Source organism: Homo sapiens, chromosome 6, assembly GCF_000001405.40.
Source record: "Homo sapiens chromosome 6, GRCh38.p14 Primary Assembly".
Taxonomy (NCBI): domain Eukaryota; kingdom Metazoa; phylum Chordata; class Mammalia; order Primates; family Hominidae; genus Homo; species Homo sapiens.
In genome coordinates this window covers 458,239-477,206 of record NC_000006.12, presented here as the reverse complement: position 1 = coordinate 477,206, position 18,968 = coordinate 458,239, and the positions used below count along the sequence as shown (strand labels likewise).

Sequence of the window (18,968 nt, the reverse complement as noted above, 5' to 3'; positions counted from 1 at the left end):
TATGTGGTATTTCTAAATATGTGCTATTTCTGGGTCCTAAATAAAAGGACTCAAAGGTTGAAAGCAAAAGAATGCCAGCCCTACCCCACTCCCACCCCAAAAAAAATGTTTGCTAGGGAAATATTCATGAAAAGAAAGCTAGTGGTGCTAAGTTGATATCACACAAAATATACTTGATGGCAAAATGTTATTTAGGAATATATTAAGGCTATTGTGTAATGATGAAAGTAATAATTTGCCAGGAAGATAAAACGATTTCTAAACTTAGGTACATTTAATAATATTAATAACTTCAGGCCGGGCAAGGTGGCTCACACCCGTAATCCCAGCACTTTGGGAGACCAAGGCAGAAGGATCCCCTGAGGTTAGGAGTTCGAGACCAGCCTGGCCAACATGCTGAAACCCCGTCTCTATTAAAAACAGAAGAATTAGCCAGGCATGGTGACAGGCGCCTGTAGTCCCAGCTACTTGGGAGACTGAGGCAGGAGAATCACTTGAACCCAGGAGGCAGAGGTTGCAGTGAGCCGAGATCACGCCATTGCACCCCAGCTTGGGCAAAAAGAGCAAAACTGTCTCAAAAAAAAAAGTAAATAATAATATATTAATAACTTCAATAGATATAATTTTTTAGTTTTACCTATATAATTTTTTAGTTATAGGGTTTGGGATTTGCAATCCATAAACATACTAGTAGATTTTTAACACATTTTTCTCAATATTGATGGATTAAGCAGTCAAAATAATTATCAAATGTATAGAAAATTTGAAAAGCACCATTAGCAAGCTTAATCTGGCAGAAATTTGTATAACCTTCTGACTTTAGTTAGAAGACTGACCACATTCTAGCCACAAACAAGTCTGAAGAAATAAAAAATTAGTATCAAATTATCTGACCACAGTAAAATTATATTAGACATTAGTAACAAGAAGATAACTTTTAAAACCCTGCATGTATTTGGAAATTTATTTTTTGTAGAAATAGAGTCTCACTATGTTGCCCAGACTGGTCTTGAACTCTTGGCTTCAAGCGATCCTCCTGCCTCAGCCTCCCAAAGTGGCTGGATTACAGGTGTAAGCCATGCCTGGCTAACATTTGGAAGTTTTAAAACAGACTTCTGAATACCACATAGGTCAAAAAAGAAATTATTAACAAACATTAGAGAAACTGATATCTGAACAGTAATGAAAAATTTTATATCAAAATGTGGCTTGCAGCTGAAGAAACACTTCAAGGTAAATGTAGACTTTAAGTGCCTGTGTTAGAGAGGAAAAGAGACTGAACATGAGCTATGCATGAAACTCAAAAGAATGAGCTCAAAGAAAGTAGAGGGAAAGAGCTAATAAACACAAAATAGAACACAAGATGCAACGGAGATAGTCAAATCAATAAGGCCAATAGCTGGTTCTTTGAGAACATGTAAACAGAAAATCAAAATCTTGGGGCCCCAAACTCACTAAGCCATTGGGAAAAGTTAACCTTGGGTTAACTGCCTCCTGCTTTGTTCCTAAGTAGATAGATAGAAGGCCACATACCTCCCTAGGCGGCCTCCCTCAGTTTTCTCACAAGGTACCTCCCTGTGGGCCCCAAGATCTTTACCCTAAAACAATGTTCTGTTGAATTTCACCCTGACAATGTGAATTCACAGCTTATCTTCACAGGCACAGGACAAAGGCAGGACTGGACGTCATTTCTCCCTCACCCGAGACAAATGCGTGCGTGACTGCCCCATTTGCTCTTCCTCCTGTCAAAAGCATGCTCGCTGAGCAGGAGAGGAACGCATAGGTGACCGTCCGTCTGCCCCGTTCTTTCCATGGCAGCATATGGATTTACGGAGCCCTCATCAGAGCTTCGCGAGAAGGTGACCGTATCCTCCCCTTTTTTCTTTCCTCTCCTGCCCATTTTTTCCCCTCTAAATATTGAAGCCCTGATGCCTTCTTTAGAGAAAGCATGGGTCACAGACGTTCCTGTGGTCCTGTGTTTCTTTTTCCCAGTCACATCCTATCAAAGGAGAAAAAGGAGATACAGAAGAAACATTAGGAATGCAGAGGGAAGCAAGGAAACATATACCCACTTTTGAAAATTCAGATATTTCTATGATAAAACAGTTCCTGAACACAGCAGCGTGAGGACCGGTACCTCAGCTGGAGGATGGGCGGGAAGCGCAGGCGTCCAGAGAGAAAGCCTCTGGTGTCTTCACTTCTCACTCGCTGTGATCCTGACCACACAGGAAGCAGCACCGAGCCAGCCCTCCCCCAGCCCCGAGTCCTGTCAGTCACTCACACACAGCTTACACACATCCTCATCAGAAAAGAACACAATTCTTTTGAGTGGGAACACTAACATACAGTTTTCAGGTTTATTATCCTAGGTTTGACACACCAAGTCACAACATGAAATCCCATTGTGTGTATAGTCTGATGGATTAATTATCCACGATGACATTTTGAATGACAAGCAGGTTTTGAAAATGTAGGTTCCTGATCAGACGTTTGAAAAATGCCACTGTGAGAATAAAACTGCTGCTGCTTGCCGACACACAAATGGTGTCCCAGCCACGCGGGAGCCCAGCGCCCCACGCCCTGCCCCACACCTGTGCAAAGCCAGGCTCCCCACAGCTAACTCCTCCAGACTCGCGGAGGCAGAGGATGAGGGAAGAGTGCCTTGGCGACTGGCTTTTTCCCTTTTTAGTTGTGTGTGTGTGGAGCGGATAACCCTTAATTTTGTCTGAGGAGGTGGCTCTGCAGCCTTACAGTGCATTGGAGTGACCTGCTGGACTCAGAGTCAAGTAACAGCCAGCGTGGGGCAGGGACCCAGGCGTCTGCGCTTATCACGGACTCCGGGTGGTCCGAGGTGCAACAAGGCTTGCGTGCCACAGCTAACAGCTTCGGCATCTGAGCTTCCCAGGCTCGGTCATGGTGCCCCTGGGCTGTTTGTCAGACAGTCCCGCATTTACAGGGATTAGCAGCTACTCTCACGATACCATTTTCAGATCTGCATAACTATCCCCATTTTACACAGGAGGAAACTGCAGTAAACAGGTCAAATAATGCCCAAGGTCATGTAACTAGGTAGACACAGCTCAGATTGGAACGCAGAGTCTTGCTCAGCACCCGTCCCCCTCACCACCGTGCCTGGAGGTAGCACTGTTCATGCACAGCACTCTCCTGAGAGCCCACTGTCAGAGTAGCCCTCACATAGGAGAAGCACGTGCTCAAGTCTGCGGGACTCCACAGTGGGAACTGAGAGCAGCCCTGGGGCACGGGCGAGCCCTAGGCCTGGGAGGCTGTGGAGCTGAAGCGCATGTAGTTCTGCTCTCAGGGGGTGCACAGGCTCTCCGGGGAAACAGAAGGGGTACCCCCACGTGCTCCACGCCAAGCAGACGTGCAAGCACCAAGCAACGAAAGGGCTGTTCTTGGCCCTGTCCTCGCTCGCCGTGGGCAAATCTATTATCGCAAAAGAGGAGGGAAGCATTTAACCAAAGACAGCTAGACTGACAGAAGTTTGGAATAAGTTTATTTTCCCCAACTCCCTGAGACTTCTGCTTAGGTGTGAAGAAGTTAGACGTGCCAGGTGTGCTACTCAGAGACCCCCATGGCTGTGAGGACAGCAAGAAACCACAGTGGGCTTATAGATGTTAACTGAAGCCATGGAGAGGGTGGATGAGATCATATGAGATGAAGTTAGGACAGAACCACGAAGTGGACCAGGGCTGAGGGCAGATCATAGAAGACAGGGCTGCAAGAGGGAGCTGGGAGCACAGAGGCTCTGGCCAGAAGCAAAAGGAAAGGGATACATCACAGTTTGCTGGTTAGAAAATGTCTACAAACTTAGCCATTTAACTGACCAGTGTCCTAGAGTTTTCAGAAGGAAATCCTACACAGCAGTTTCTCTACCCGCTGCCCCTGTATCTTCATATGCCACCTAGCATTGATGGGAGAAATACTGCATTCACGGAGATACCAGGTGTGTGATGTCTATGTGCTGTTATATAACAAGGTAATTATTCAGCTGTGCCAATAACAAAACTGATATCATACACAATGATGTCCTCAGCTCCCGCCCCGCATGTCTGCACAGGTGTGCCTATATTTAACCGTTCCTGCTAACCCTGACATCACCTTTCATAGGCATAGAATGTGGTGCTTTTCCAAGAACCTTCATGTATAACGTTGTTGAGTTCCTGTGAAGTGAGCAGACTATTTTCACATCTGGACTTTACCAAGGAGAAAGCTGAGGCTAGCAGACATTTAGTTCGTTAGTTATAATCACAAAAGAGCTCGTGACAGAAAGGCAAGGAAACCAAGATGTACCAAGTCCTAGTGCAAACGCCTCTGGTCGTGGGGATGAAGACAGTGTGTGACCTCAGGAAATATCGCAGCTCCTGCCACTCTTCTCAAGCAAGGTATCCTGGGATCAGCTTCTTGCTCCAGAGTGCTAAGTAAATGCCCTCCACCTATGGGCTAGAAACGCCAGGGCCTTGCCCTAAAGAAAGGGAGTGGTTTTTTTTTTTTTTTTCAAAGACACTTGTTTTAAACTCACATCAAAACTTACACATCCAGCCGGACGCGGTGGCTCATGCCTGTAATCCCAGTACTTTGGGAGGCCGAGGCGAGCGGATCATCTGAGATCAGGAGTTCGAGACCAGCATGACCAACATAGGGAAACCCTGTCTCTACTAAAAATACAAAAATTAGCTGGGTGTGGTGGTGCATGCCTGTAATTCCAACTACTTGGGAGGCTGAGGCAGGAGAATCACTTCAACTTGGGAGGCAGAAGTTGTAGTGAGCTGAGATTGAGCCACTGCACTCAAGCCTGGACGACAGAGAGACTCCATCTTAAAAAAAAAAAAAACCACAAAAAACTTACACATCCAAATGAATTCTGCCCTCGATGTAATTTATTTTAATATGCAATAGTTGGTAAACCAACTGTGCAGACATCATCTTGAAGATATTCAGAGGTCTCTTAAATATGGTCCAGGTATTGGATGAGATTTAGAAATTAGTTTTGGTAGGTGTGGGGATGGTGTTGGGCCTGTGAGAGACAATGGCCTTGTTTTTAAAGCTGCCTGGAGATGTACATAGGCTCAAAACAAGGTGGCATTTGGGCTGGACTTCTGCAGCAGGATGGCAGCATTACATTTATGTAGATGAATCACACATCCTCAGAGTAGATGAGAGCTCTGCCGCCTGGACGTTAGAACATTCCATCTGGGAGTTTATTGAATTTTCAGCAATGCCCTCAGAACCAATTTGCAAACCCCAGAGCAGTGGGATCCCATTGCTTTAGAGAACTACATCTGAACGTCTGAGCACCTGCCGATGTCGGGCCTGCACAGCAGCACCATAGCCCGTGCTTGTCGCCTCCCAGCACTCCTGCTTCGAGCTGTGATGCGGGAGACTGAGCCTGGAAGACAGCGAATCCTGACACTAGGACTTGGCGGTTTGATTTCTTCCTGTGCAAGGACCTTCAGTTGTTTTATTAAGTTCCACGATCAAGTCTTAGGCCAAGGCTGCAACCAAGTGTCTCCAACCAGGCTTCGGGTATAGATTTTACAGAGCAGGGCGATTCTCTACCACCCAGCCCGCTGCCTGGGCCTTGCTGCATGGGACCGAGGACGGGGCTCCTGATGGTGGAAAAACATCCCCAGGTGGGACAGGGACGGCTCAGCTCACTGAAGAGGAGGAAGTGGAGGCAGGTGGGCAGAGGTGAAGCCTGGCTTGTTGAGCGCATGGTAGTGAGCGAGGTGCTAAGAGGTGTGCCTGGAAACCATCTGGACAATGAGGTGTTGCAGAGAATGCCACAGCCGATGACTGGAAACTACATAACCAAAGCATCTGTCAGGCTAGGCTGACGGAAGCATCGGGCAGGGGAATGTCCCTCTCCCACACCCAACCCCCAGGGATTTCTTTAAGGTGAGGAAGAGATTTTCTACTGTAAGATATCAGGGGTTTTTTCCTCACTATTCAGGAAAATACCATACACTAAAGTTTCCTTTTTATAAGCAGCGACTGCTGAACTGGCAGCCCAGACATCCCCATTGCTGGGGGTGGGGCAGCCTCTGGGAGTGTGCAACCCCACCTGCAGCCTCGAGCCCCGCCGGGGCTCTCCCACCCGGGCTAAGATGCCGCTGTTAAAAATCACGGTTCAGTAAGCACCGCCTGCCCTGTCTTTGTGTGCAGGACTATGTCCAGTTAAACCCTCAACAGTGGAAGGCCACCCCACAGGGACAGGCAGGGTGGCCTGGCCGCTCCCTCCACCCTTGGTACGGGGGCCACCGCCCAGCCTCCGCACCCTGGCGGGGCAGGGGGAGAGGTGTGCTGCTTGACACCCAGAGGAAGTGCATCTGCAGCAGTCCCCCTTATCCCTGCTTTCACTTTCCGCTGTTTCAGCGACCCGCACTCAACCGTGGTCCGAATCTATTAAGTGGAAAATTCTAGAAATACATAATTCCTGGGTTTTAAAAGGTGCACAGCTCTGAGTAGTGTGATGCAATCTTGCATGGGGACGTGATTCATCGCTTTGCCCAGGGGATCCACGATGGAGGTGCTGCCTGTCCCTCAGCCACTGAGGAACCCTGTCCCTTATGAGGCCGACTCTCCAGGTGGCCGTGCGTGTGTTCAAAGAACCCGTATTTTCCTTGAAAATGGCACCAAGGTGCAGGAGCGGTGATGCCGGCAATTCAGATTGCCAGAGAGGAGCCATCGAGGGCTTTCTTTACGTGAAACGGTGAACGTTCCTAAGAAAATAAAAGCTGCCAGGTGCGGTGTCTCACGCCTGGAATCCCAGCAGTTTTGGAGGCTGAGGTGGGCAGATCACTCGAGCCCAGGAGTTTGAGACCAGTCTGGGCAACACAGCAAAACCCTGTCTCTACAAGAAATACAAAATGTAGCCAGGCATGGTGGTATGCCTGTAATCCCAAGTACGGGGGGGTGAGGCTGGAGGATGATTGAGCCCCACAGGTCAAGGCTGCAAGGAGCCTTAACTGATCCATCACACTCCAGCCTGGGCGACAGAGCCAGACCCTGTCTCAAAACAAAACAGAAAGAAAAAACAATTGTAAGCTGAACTTGCTAAGATCTACAGTAAAAATAAGTCTATTCATGAAAATGTGATGAGGGAAAAGGAAATTTGCGCTCGTTTTACTATCACATCTCAAACTGCAAAAGTTATGGCCACAGGGCCTGATAGTGCTCAGTTAAGAAGGAGAAGGCATTAAATGTATGGGTGGAAAACGAACAGACACGTGTCCTGATTGACAGCGACTGGATTTAGGACTCTCCATGGTTTCAGGTGTCCCTGGGAAGCATATCCCCTTATTGACAAGGGGGTCCACAATGAAACTGCTCTTCTGGGCCCCAGATTTTCCATGTACCACTGGCAGATCCTATGAGAGAAGCCTCTGCAGAGGCCATGTTGTGACCTTCGCACGACAGAAAGAGGGAGGGGCGGAGGCAGAAAGAGGAGGAAGAGAGAGACACAGAGACAGAGAGAGGAGGGGGAGAGAGGAGGGAGACGGAGAGGAGGGAGACGGAGAGGAGGGAGACGGAGAGGAGGGAGACGGAGAGGAGGGAGACGGAGACGGAGAGGAGGGAGACGGAGAGGAGGGAGAGAGAGAGACACAGACAGAGAGAGAGACAGAGACAGAGAGAGACAGAGACAGAGAGAGACAGACAGACAGAGAGACAGAGACAGAGACAGAGAGAGACAGAGACAGAGAGAGACAGAGACAGAGAGAGAGACAGAGACAGGGAGAGGAGGGGGAGAGAGGAGGGGGACGGAGAGGAGGGAGACGGAGAGGAGGGAGACGGAGACGGAGAGGAGGGAGACGGAGACGGAGAGGAGGGAGACGGAGACGGAGAGGAGGGAGACGGAGACGGAGAGGAGGGAGACGGAGAGGAGGGAGACGGAGAGGAGGGAGACGGAGACGGAGAGGAGGGAGACGGAGAGGAGGGAGACGGAGAGGAGGGAGAGAGAGAGACACAGAGACAGAGACAGAGAGACAGAGACAGAGAGAGACAGAGACAGAGAGAGACAGACAGAGAGACAGAGAGACAGAGACAGAGACAGAGAGAGACAGAGACAGAGAGAGACAGAGACAGAGACAGAGAGAGACAGAGACAGAGACAGAGAGAGACAGAGAGACAGAGACAGAGAGAGACAGAGAGAGACAGAGAGAGACAGAGACAGACAGAGAGAGAAACACAGAGACTCTCCCTGCAGGCTTCACCAAGGCCAGGTCAGAATGAGATCCTGCTACACTTCATTTCGGGAACCCTCAACACCCTTTCATTTGTAAGAAAATCCCATAAATGCTTTATAAAAGTAGGCAATATCTTTGATAATTCAGCTCGCAAATGAAACTTAATTTTGGATATTTTAAAACATGAAGATAGTCATTTAAAGAACACACAAAAAACAACAAGTGACGTGAAAGTCATTAGGCATTCGGACTTCCTAAGCATTGCAGAATTTATAAAACTCTCCAAGTCAGTGTCTCCGAGCACGTGGCTCTAGGTCAACGTAAGAAACTAACATTCCACATTCTAAAACCAGGAGCTTCCTAAGCCCTCCTTTTTGGCTCAAAACAAAAATTCTCCTCTTTGGATGGGTCTGTTCCAGCTGAGCTGATGTAAAGCCTCCAATTTCCTTGCCTCCTACCTGATACTTTTTTTTTTTTTTTTTTTGAGACAGTCTCACTCTGTCACCCAGGCTGGAGTGCAGTGGTGCGATCTCCGCTCACTGCAACCTCCGCCTCCTGGGTTCAAGTGATTCTCCTGCCTCAGCCTCCTGAGTAGCTGGGATTACAGGCATGCGCCACCACACCCAGCTAATTTTTGTATTTTTAATAGATGAGGTTTCACCCTGTTGGCCAGGCTGGTCTCGAACTCCTGACCTCAGGTGATCCTCCCCCCTCGGCCTCCCAAAGTGCTGGGGTTACAGCTACCTAATACTCTTCATGGAAAAGGCACCGTGAAGAGCAGGCCATCACATTTCTGTTTATTCAGAAGTGAGTTCTACCACAGGAGCAGGGTGCCTTGGAGATTGGAGTCGCAACATCCACCGGCCGGGTAGGACAAACAGAAGCTGCTGTCCTCCCCTCTGCGAGTGGAGCAGAACCCAGGCATCCCAAGGCTCCTCTCAGCTCTGTCACTAACCTGCGGTTACCAAGCTCGGATTCTGGACACCCATTAGTCATTTTGTGAAAAAGTTTGTAAACTGTAAAGTGTCCCACAACCATTATCTCTCTCTGTATCAGGTAGCTGGTCTCTTCCCACAATAAGCCACAATAGAACTGGTGTGCTGGCACTTTCACCCTCAGGGCGGGGACCTGAGCGAGGGGTGGGGACGGAGGTGTGTGGTGGGCACTCCCTGCGCCTGCACTATCCCTTCCCGAATGGCTGTAAGTTCCACTTCGTGTGGCGGACCAAGTCCCTCCGCTTCTCCCTCCATCCTGCTTAGCTGCAGCTGGAGCTTCAGGGCTGAAAGTCGCCGTGGTCCCCAAGGAAGGTGCGGTGCCCGACGCACTCTTGCCGGCCACTGTGATAATGCCTGGCTCCTTCCCGATGGCACAAGAATCACTTCTATTTTAATTTCATTCAGATCTGAATAAAAATCTATTTTAGTGGTACTGATGTCATCATTTTCCTAATTGTACTGTTTCTATAAAACATTAACATTGGGGAAACTAGATGAAGGGGTATATGGACCCTCTCTGCACTAACTTTGCAACTCTTCTCTATGTCTGAAATTATTTCAAAATAAATAGTTGGGGAGAAACCTGAGGGCCATTTTCCAGACCTGTTAGAAGTTCCAGTAACACCCAAACAGCTCTTGCCCTTGCCACGGAAGGTCTGGAGCAGGCATGAGGGCAGGGAGGCGGTTGGAGCGGCCGTCAGAGCTGCACACTGGCCGGTCTGGTCTCCAGTTAGCTCCAGGAATCTCGCCAAAAAGACTCTGCCCGTGTTCCCATTCGCCACTGTCAGCTGTGCGACTAAGCCCACCCAGAGCCCCTCATTCTTCTTTGCTGTCCCTGGTTTGAGTCTCCAAATGGGACTGGGGTGAGGATGGATCTCCGGACTCGAGGACAGGTGACGTGCGTTTCCCACTTATAGACAGCCTTGTGCCCTGAGTCAGAATTTTACCAGAGGGAAAAACTCAAAAAACCTCTGAGGAAACAGATTCATTTCTAACTCCTTTCTTCATCCATTTTTTCCAACAACTATTATTGCATGCCTCCTACACGTGAAGTGTCCTGCTAGTCAGAAACGAATGGCTGGTCCAGAGCCAGCATGTGGCCGCACCGTGTCTCGCGGGTCCCCCGACTGCCGGCGCAGGCTCGAGTGCCATTCTGATTCCTTCCCACCATCCCCTGACCACAGGGAGGCATGTCCCTGTGACTCAGAGAACCGTTTGTGCCTTGGTGAACTCGTTGTCAGGAAGCAAGTGAACGCAGGTTAGACCAAATTAACCTCCTCCGGTCTCATCTGCAAATGCCGCCTGCTACCTCCATGGACAGCCAGAAAGCGGTGGCCTCGAATGACAAAGCCAAGCTCTTCAGCCTCAGATTCATTTCACTCATTTTCCTGTTGCCATGAGTTGCGTTCTCCTTCAAAGATCCCCCACTCACCCTGAAACCTTCTTGAATTATTTCGCCTCCATCCTGCACCTCCCTCCCTGGCCAGCCCCCTGTCCTACCCATGCTTTCCAACAGGGCTTCCTGGATCCAGCCCTTTCCTCACTGTCCCCTTCACCTGACCCAGGAAGAATAACATTCTAAAGGAAGTCCAGCTGTTCTATCAACATAAAAATCGTGGTGACTTTGACACAATACAAGCTTATAACCTGCTCCCATGGAAGTCCAGCGTGGTGTGGTGTTCCTGGTCAGGTTGTTCCTGGAAGGCTCCCCTTTCAACAGCAGCTCCCGCCTCCCGGGGCTCCAGGATGAGCTGGCCTGTGGCGCGCTCTCCACCCAGTCCTCAGCTGGAAATGGGAAACCTGAGGCTTGCACGGCAGGACTTCTCTGGGGAGGGCCAGGCCAGGACACGGTCCTCCTGCCCACATTCCTTCAGCCTGGCTCAGCCCCATGCCCCCACACTGAAGACCACACTCAAGTCCAGGGCACATGGAGTCTGGCCATGTGCCCACCACACACGTGATAGACTGAGCTCAGCCAACTCGTGCAGTTCATAACACAGAAACCCTCCTCTCTCTTCTACCATAAACTGCCAAGCTTGCCTCATTTCCTTCCTTCAGAGGATACGAGACGTAGATGTCCACAGGTTACTGTCATGTTTTCTACCCTAGTCCTTGCCTTTCGAATGTCTTTGAAGACTCACCAAGCAATATAAGATCAAAATTCCTGGGTCTCATCAATACCAGATCACCAGCCCCGGTTTTCAGTCCCCAATCCTAAACCGGGCTCCGGGAGCTGGATGTTCCATCTGTGCCCCGAGGCGTCCCTGCTCTGACCTCTGCCTTGGCAAACCAGCACCCAGCATTCTGGCTCCTGGATGCCTGTGAACGACAGGAACCTGGCAGGAGAAAGGAGAAAGAGGATGGGGCAGGTGGCGGGAGCAGATGTGCCACTGGTTGGAAGGCCACCTGTCCTTTCAGTCACCCTCTGCACTGGAGGGGAGTCTGCCCTTGATTTTCCTCCTCCAGGCCCTCGGGTGGGAGGACCTCTGCAGCCTGCAGCTCCCCCCATGCTGTGTCCTGTGTTTCCACAGGACCTTCTCTCACCTCTGCAAACAGCCACCTTTTTAAACCATTGCTGAATTCTCCGAGTTTATGGGTACCATCGGATGGATTCCTGGTGAGATGTTGCCTGGGATTCCTGGATCCCATCAGCTTCCAGCTGGATGTTTAAGTCCAGGCCAACCCTGTCCCTGCCTGCTTCCTGCCCCGCCACCCCCCCCCCCCCCACAGTGTCCATGGCAGCCTTCACCTCTGTCTTCAGGCCACAGCTGAATCTTCATCTTCTTTATTCTCAGACACCTCCCAACCTCCGACCCCAGCTTTAGGGGTGCACAAGCATTGGGGCAGCTTGACCACCCCAGCCGCTGATGAGTTTAGCCCACTCTCTGCTCAGTTTGTTTTAAAAAGGATTAGAGGCGAGGTGCGGTGGCTCATGCCTGTAATCCCAGCACTTTGGGAGGCTAAGGCAGGTGGATTTCCTGAGGTCAGGAGTTCATGACCAGCCTTGGCCAACATGGTGAAACCCTGTCTCTACTAAAAATATAAAAAATTAGCTGGGCATGGTGGTGCACACCTGTAATCCCAGCTACTACGGAGGCTGAGGCAGGAGAATCACTTGAACCCGGGAGGCAGAGGTTGCAGTGAGCTGAGGTCGCACCACTGCACTCTAGACTGGGCAACAAGAGCAAAACTCCATCTCAAAAATAACAAAATAAAAAATAAAATAAAAATAAAAAAGATTAGACACCTCCCACACTCAGTCACCACCTACCACTGGCTTCGGAATCCCCCGTATTCCACCTTCTGGCTCACTAAGGAAAGTCTCCTCACTAAGATGACCAGTGGCTTCCAAATTGCCAGGTCATACCCACGTTTCAGATCTTATCTCATGAGGCTTTTGGACCTTTTGATCAGTCCTTCAAATAATTTTTCATAACCCAAGTCGTTTTGGTAAATGTTGAAGAAAATGCTGAAATAAAGGTAAGCCAAAAAAAAAAAAATTTATGGTCCTACTACCTAGAGACAACCACTATTAACATTTTACTGTTAGCCTTCCGGACTCTTCTGTGCTTACATATTAAATGGATGTTAACGAATTAATAATACATAACATGTAGCAACCACCTTTAAAATATGATCATCTTGCCTTATTAAAAATATGAAGACATTCATTTTAGTGGCTGCATTGGGTTGCAGGGCGTGGACTTGCCTACCTTTGGGAATGTTGATTGTTGCCCATTTTCCTTGTTGGAGAACAATCTTGTGATGAATGAACTCCTTAGTACTTCATATCTATTCACTCTCATTGTTTTCTTAGAAAAAATTGCTAGAAGTTAAAGCCCCACTGCCAGCTGTCAGCCCCCACACATCCCCTTTCTGCATGGTTGTTTCCTAGGAGTATACCCTTTTCCTAAGTGCAGAAAAGGACGGAGGAAGAGCTGCGACGTGGTTGCAGGTGTCAGACTCCCCCATGAAGGAGGGAAATCTGTCTGCCTGCCTGGGCGCTAGGACTGGAGACAGGTGCCAGGGAGGGTGGCAGCGCTTCTCTGCCTGGAAAACAAAGTGGAAGCCTGAGCTGGTATCTCTCCGGCATACTCCTCCCTCCGGGCCATCACTGCGTCCTCCTGCGTCCGGCATTATGTTCCCTCTGCAGGCCTTTGCTGCTGGTGCGGTGAGACTTTACTTAAGGGGTAGCATTTTAGTAAGAAGTCTGACAAGCAAGGCTATTGACATCTTGAATGTGAAGTGAAGTCCGTGCTTTCCTGCTTCCTGAGATTCCTCTGGCCCCGTGGCTTCAGTGAAACCACACCTTCCTGTTTCCCTCTGAGCCCTTCCTCCTCATCTTTCCGTCTCCTTCTTAGGCTCCTCTTCTTCCACACAGCCCCTAAATTCCAACAATCACCAGGCTTTCCCCCAGAAATCACTCTGCTTACGCTCCCCACTCGCTGTGCCTGTATGGTGGGGTGGGGTCCAACCCACTCAAATTATTAGCCACTAAGACACCCTTGACCCCTTCTTCTCTCAGACTCGAAATTCATCTGCCCAACTGCCTGCTAAGCACCACCTGTGTAATTTATGGATCTCAAAGTTGTTGGGCTCAAAGCGGATTTCACCTCCCTGCCCCTCACTCAGGGCTCCCCTGAGCTGTCTGTGTCAGGGGATACACTGCTGTCCACCCAGCACATAATCCACAAACCCAGCCGTTCCCGTGTGTTCTTCTCCCTCACGCCTCCCACCTGGCCAACCACCACCCATCATCAACTTCACCCTGGAGGAATCTGTCCAATGGGCAACTACTTCATCATCACTGCCCTGGCTAATGCAGGCCCTGGCCATCTGCCACCAGGAAAACGTACCAGCTGGCCTCCCTGCCTCCCACCACCCTTTTCCGACCCAAATGCAACCTCGCAGCACAGTGTGGTAAGTATTTCTATATCTGGATACTGGATACCATACCCTATGCTACTCCTCCACCAAGACTTTCCAATGCTCTTACTGCATACGGGATACAGCAGACAGCCCTGCAGGATGTGCTTCCCGACCACCTTGCCTGCTTTAGCTTTCACTCCTTTCTTTACGTACCAGAATCCACACCTGGATTTTTTGTGATTTCCATGATGCACACCTCCAACCCTTTGCTAATAACATTCATTGCCTGGAATGTCCTTCCTCTCTATGTGACCAATTTGACCTCTCCATAAGTTTCAGCTCTCTTAGACAGCCATTCCTAACTTTTTTTTTTTGTCCCCACAAATAGATGCTTTTCTTCGTGTTCCCAAAATGCTCTTTGAAAATGTATGCCATTACTCTTACCACATTGCATTGCAGTTACGTGCTTTTACAACTAGACTTTGAGATCCAGGAAAGCAAGACTATGCCTTTTCCATGTCTGATTCCCTGGTTTCTATTCTAGTATCTGGCACATTGACACTCAATAACTTTTTAAATATATGGGTGAGTAATATTTGTCTTCCAATATTAGAAGAGCTGCCATTAGAACATGTAATAAGCTTACATTTAGCCGAAAGAGATAGGTTTAACGAGCGAAAATTATGAAAGGACCAATTGAAACTTGACACGAGAGAGATCTTCTGGCAATCAGAGCTGCCCAGAGATAAAATAGGCTGCCCTGAATGCTGGAGAGTCCCATTATCTCTGGGAGATACGAATACACAGGCCAGACAATTAGAGAATTTGGGTAAATGGTTGGACCAGTTAGCCTTGAAGTTCCTCTTCAGGAACCCTTGTACACTGTTTGTGGGAATGAAAATTGCTTTAGCCATTATGGAGAACAGTATAGAAGTTCCTAAAAAAATTAAAAATAGAACTACCATGTGATCTGACAATCCCACTACTGGTTATCTATCCAAAGGAAATACATTACTATCTCAAAGTGATATCTGCACTCTCATATTTACTACAGCACTATCCACAACAGCCAAAGATACAGAAACAGTGCAAGTGTGCATCAACAGGTGAATGAGGAAAGAGACTGTGGTGTATCTACACAATGGAATACTATTCAGCCACAAAAAGAAGGAAATTCTACCATTTGCAACAACATGGATGAACCTTGAGGATGTCATGCCAAGTGAAATAAGCCAGGCTCAGGAAGAGAAAGATAAATTCCACATATTCACTTACATGTGGAATCTTAAAAAGTCAAACTCAGAAACAAAGTAGAAGGGTGATTATCATGGGTTGGGGTCGGGTGGAGGAAAGGGGTAGATGTTGGTCAAAGGACATAAATTGCAGTTATGAGAAATTCTGGAGACCTAATGTACAGCATGGTTAACTGTAGTTAACAATGGTGAATTGTATACTCGAAATTCATAAGAGTAGATCTTAAGTATTCTCACCACAAAAAGTAACCATGTGAGCTGATGGATATGTTAACCATCTTGCTTGTGGAAATCATTTCACAATATATAGGTATATCAAAACATCGCATTGTACATATTGAATATATACAATTTTTAAATGTCAATTATACCTCAATAAAGCTGAAAGTACTATTAAAAACGGCTCTGAGAGTCTAAGGGTTAACTAAATCCTTAAGATGGGTCCTGGAATATCAATAGAGACAGTGGTGAGAGAGCAAAGTACACTAGATGGCCACACTCTCAGGACCCAGGTGCACAGATCCTGCCTGAGACTGAGGCTGGACCTGGAGAACTGAAAAGTCCCTAACATCATTAATATTAGGCTTGATATGAGCCTAACATTGAGTAACAGCATCAGTCTACTCAGGGGAGGAGAACAAGCATAAATATAGCCCCCCCTCTATGGTGGGGAAGGGGGCTGCAGAGACTGCTGAAAGGTGAGGGTGGAATTCTCTACCACCCGGGCTCCCACCAAGCAAAATCTACAGAAGCCCACTGCTAGAGGTTTTTTACAGCCACTAAAGGTAATGAAAGCAAAAGCAAAAAACAAACCCAGCTCAACTGCTGACTCAGTTGACTCTACCCTCCACCCTAATGAAGAGCCTGCGTATTTCCAAATGTATATGTTATTTACCTCAGTAAATTATTTTCTACACATCATATCTGTGCCATTCAATCAAAAATTGAGACACAATAAAGATTTAAGAAAAAAACATTTTCAAGAAATCAAGCAATCAACAGACCACATACACAGATGACCAAATGTTAGAAGTATCTGATAGGACTTTAAAATAACTAATCTATGAAAGAACCTAGTGGAAAAAGTGAACAACATGTATGGACAGATAGAAAATTTTAGCAGAAAGTTGGAGACAATAAAAAAGTTGAATGGCAATGTTAGAAATGAAAATAGTGTCAGATACAAAGAATTCCTTCAATGAGCTTTTAGCAGAATGAATATAATGTAGCAATGAAGTCAGTAGAAACTATCCAAAGGAAATAAAAGAAGACCAGGGGTTGGGGGGATGGCAGGAACTGAACACAGCATCCTAGAAATGTGGAACAATATCAAATGGTCTAACATATCCTTATTTGGACCTCCAGAAGAAGAGAGACAAAATGAAGTGAAGGTATTTGAAGAGACAGTAGCTGAAAATTTTCCAAAATTAATGAAATACAACAAACCACAGATCTAAGAGGCTCTAAGAACCTTAAGCAATATAAATACATTTATACACATACACGACACACAGACACACACACACACGACACACAGTCCAACTAGTATTTTGCAAAGATAGACAAAAAATCTTAAAAGGCAGCTGTAGAAAAAGAAACATTATGTATAGATTTACAGATTATTTCTTATCTAAAATTATGCAGGCCAAAGACAATACAGTGAAATTTGTTTAGTAGGGGTTTCCCTTTCTGGCAGTCAATCAGGGTCTGAAAATATTAAATGGAATATTCCAGAAACAAACAACTTATAAGACTTAAATTGCATGTCATTCTAACTAGTGTGATGAATCTCTTGCTGTCCCACTCCAGCCTTTGTTCATCACAAGAAGGGTGAGTATAGCACAGAAAAGATATTTTGAGAAAGAGGGCAAAAGAGAAAGGCCACAATCACATAACTGTTCTATTTTATTATGAGTTATTGTTGTTACTCTCTTACCCTGCCAAGGTTAAAAATTAAACTTTATCATAGGTATGCATGTGTGAAGGGAAAATAAAATCTCAGCCACTACACCAAAGGGAAAAGTTAAGCTTGAGGTCTGAGTCATGCAAAAACTGCCTTCCTTTTGTTCCCAAAAATACTGCTGTAATTTCACTTGCTTATTTTGTCTTATGAAAAACGTAGATTTACTGAGTGCAAGCCAAGTACCTAATTTTTTCCTCTACCCCCTCCTTTTCGTGTGTAAAACGTAGATTCACTCAGTCCTAACCAAAGCCTCACAAGAATGTAACCACTTGCTTCGTGGCCCTTTTTCCCCCTTCCTCCTTTCTTCTATTTGCTTTTTGCCCTTAAATACTGAAGTCCTCAAAACTCTCTTTGGAAAAAGCACAGGCCACAGATCCTACTGTAACTTATGTTTTCCCCCCAAGGTGCAGCCTCAACCTTTGCAAAATAAACCACTAAACTGATTGAGATCTGCCTTGCTCACTTTTTGGTTTACATATATATGTATATGTATATATTATATATATGTATATGTGTATACACATATATACGATATACATATACCGTTTGACCCAGTGATCCTATTTTTTATATATATACATATATATACACATATGTACAAAAATAGTTTATATAAGATTCAGTAATAGTCATTTGCAGGAATCTACTCAGGGTCTTAGAATGCATCTTCTGTGGATAAAAGGGAATAGTATACTGAGACAAAAAACTGCTTACCTAGAATTCTATACCAAATAAATGTATCTTTCAAAAATGAGGATAAAATATAGATTTCTTTAGATAAATTCAATCTGTGACCATTTATTTTCAGCAAACAGAGGCTGAGAAAATTAGAGCAGAACTACATTGGAATGTGATGCTACACGGAAGTTATTTTAATAGTATCTCCACACACACCAAAGAACACTGAAAATTGTAAAAATGAAAATCTATAATCAAAGGAATTTTTCTTATTTTTAGTTGCACTCAGGACATAGGCATGGGAAAGACTTCATGACTAAAACACCAAAAGCAATTGCAACAGATGTCAAAACTGACAAACAGATCTAATTAAAGAGCCTCTCCACAACCAAAGAAACTATCATCAGAGTGAACAGGCAACCTACAGAATGGCAGAAAATTTTTGCAATCTACCCATCTGTCAAAGGTCTAATATCCAGAATCTACAAGGAACTTAAATTTATAAGAAAAAAAAAAAAACAACCCTATCAAAAAGTGGGCAAAGGACATGAACAGACAGTTCTCAAAAGATGACATTTATGCAGCCAACAAATATATGAAAAAAAAGCTCATCACTGATCATTGCAGAAATGCAAATCAAAACCACAATGAGATACCATTTCATGCCAGTCAGAACAGTGATTATTAAAAAGTCAGGAAACAATAGATAATGGTGAGGCTGTGGAGAAATAGGAATGCTTTTGCACCATTGGTAGGAGTGTAAATTAGTTCAACCATTGTGGAAGACAGTGTGGCAATTCCTCAAGGATCTAGAACCAGAAATACCATTTAATCCAGCAATCCCATTACTGGGTATATAACCAAACGAGTATAAATCATTCTTCTATAAAGATACATGCACACATGTTTATTGCAGCACTGTTCACAATAGCAAAGACTTAGAATCAACCCAAATACCTATCAGATAGACGGGAGAAAGAAAATGTGGTGCATATACACCACGGAA

General features: G+C 46.4%; 2 annotated features.

The window, feature by feature from the left end:
• Positions 5,816-5,975: an enhancer, noted in NCBI's record as "active region_23854". NCBI's record gives its function as "activates an Ori minimal core promoter by ATAC-STARR-seq in GM12878 lymphoblastoid cells {active_cell/tissue: GM12878}" and the evidence as "EXISTENCE:reporter gene assay evidence [ECO:0000049][PMID:35858748]".
• Positions 6,136-6,235: a silencer, noted in NCBI's record as "silent region_16814". NCBI's record gives its function as "represses an Ori minimal core promoter by ATAC-STARR-seq in GM12878 lymphoblastoid cells {active_cell/tissue: GM12878}" and the evidence as "EXISTENCE:reporter gene assay evidence [ECO:0000049][PMID:35858748]".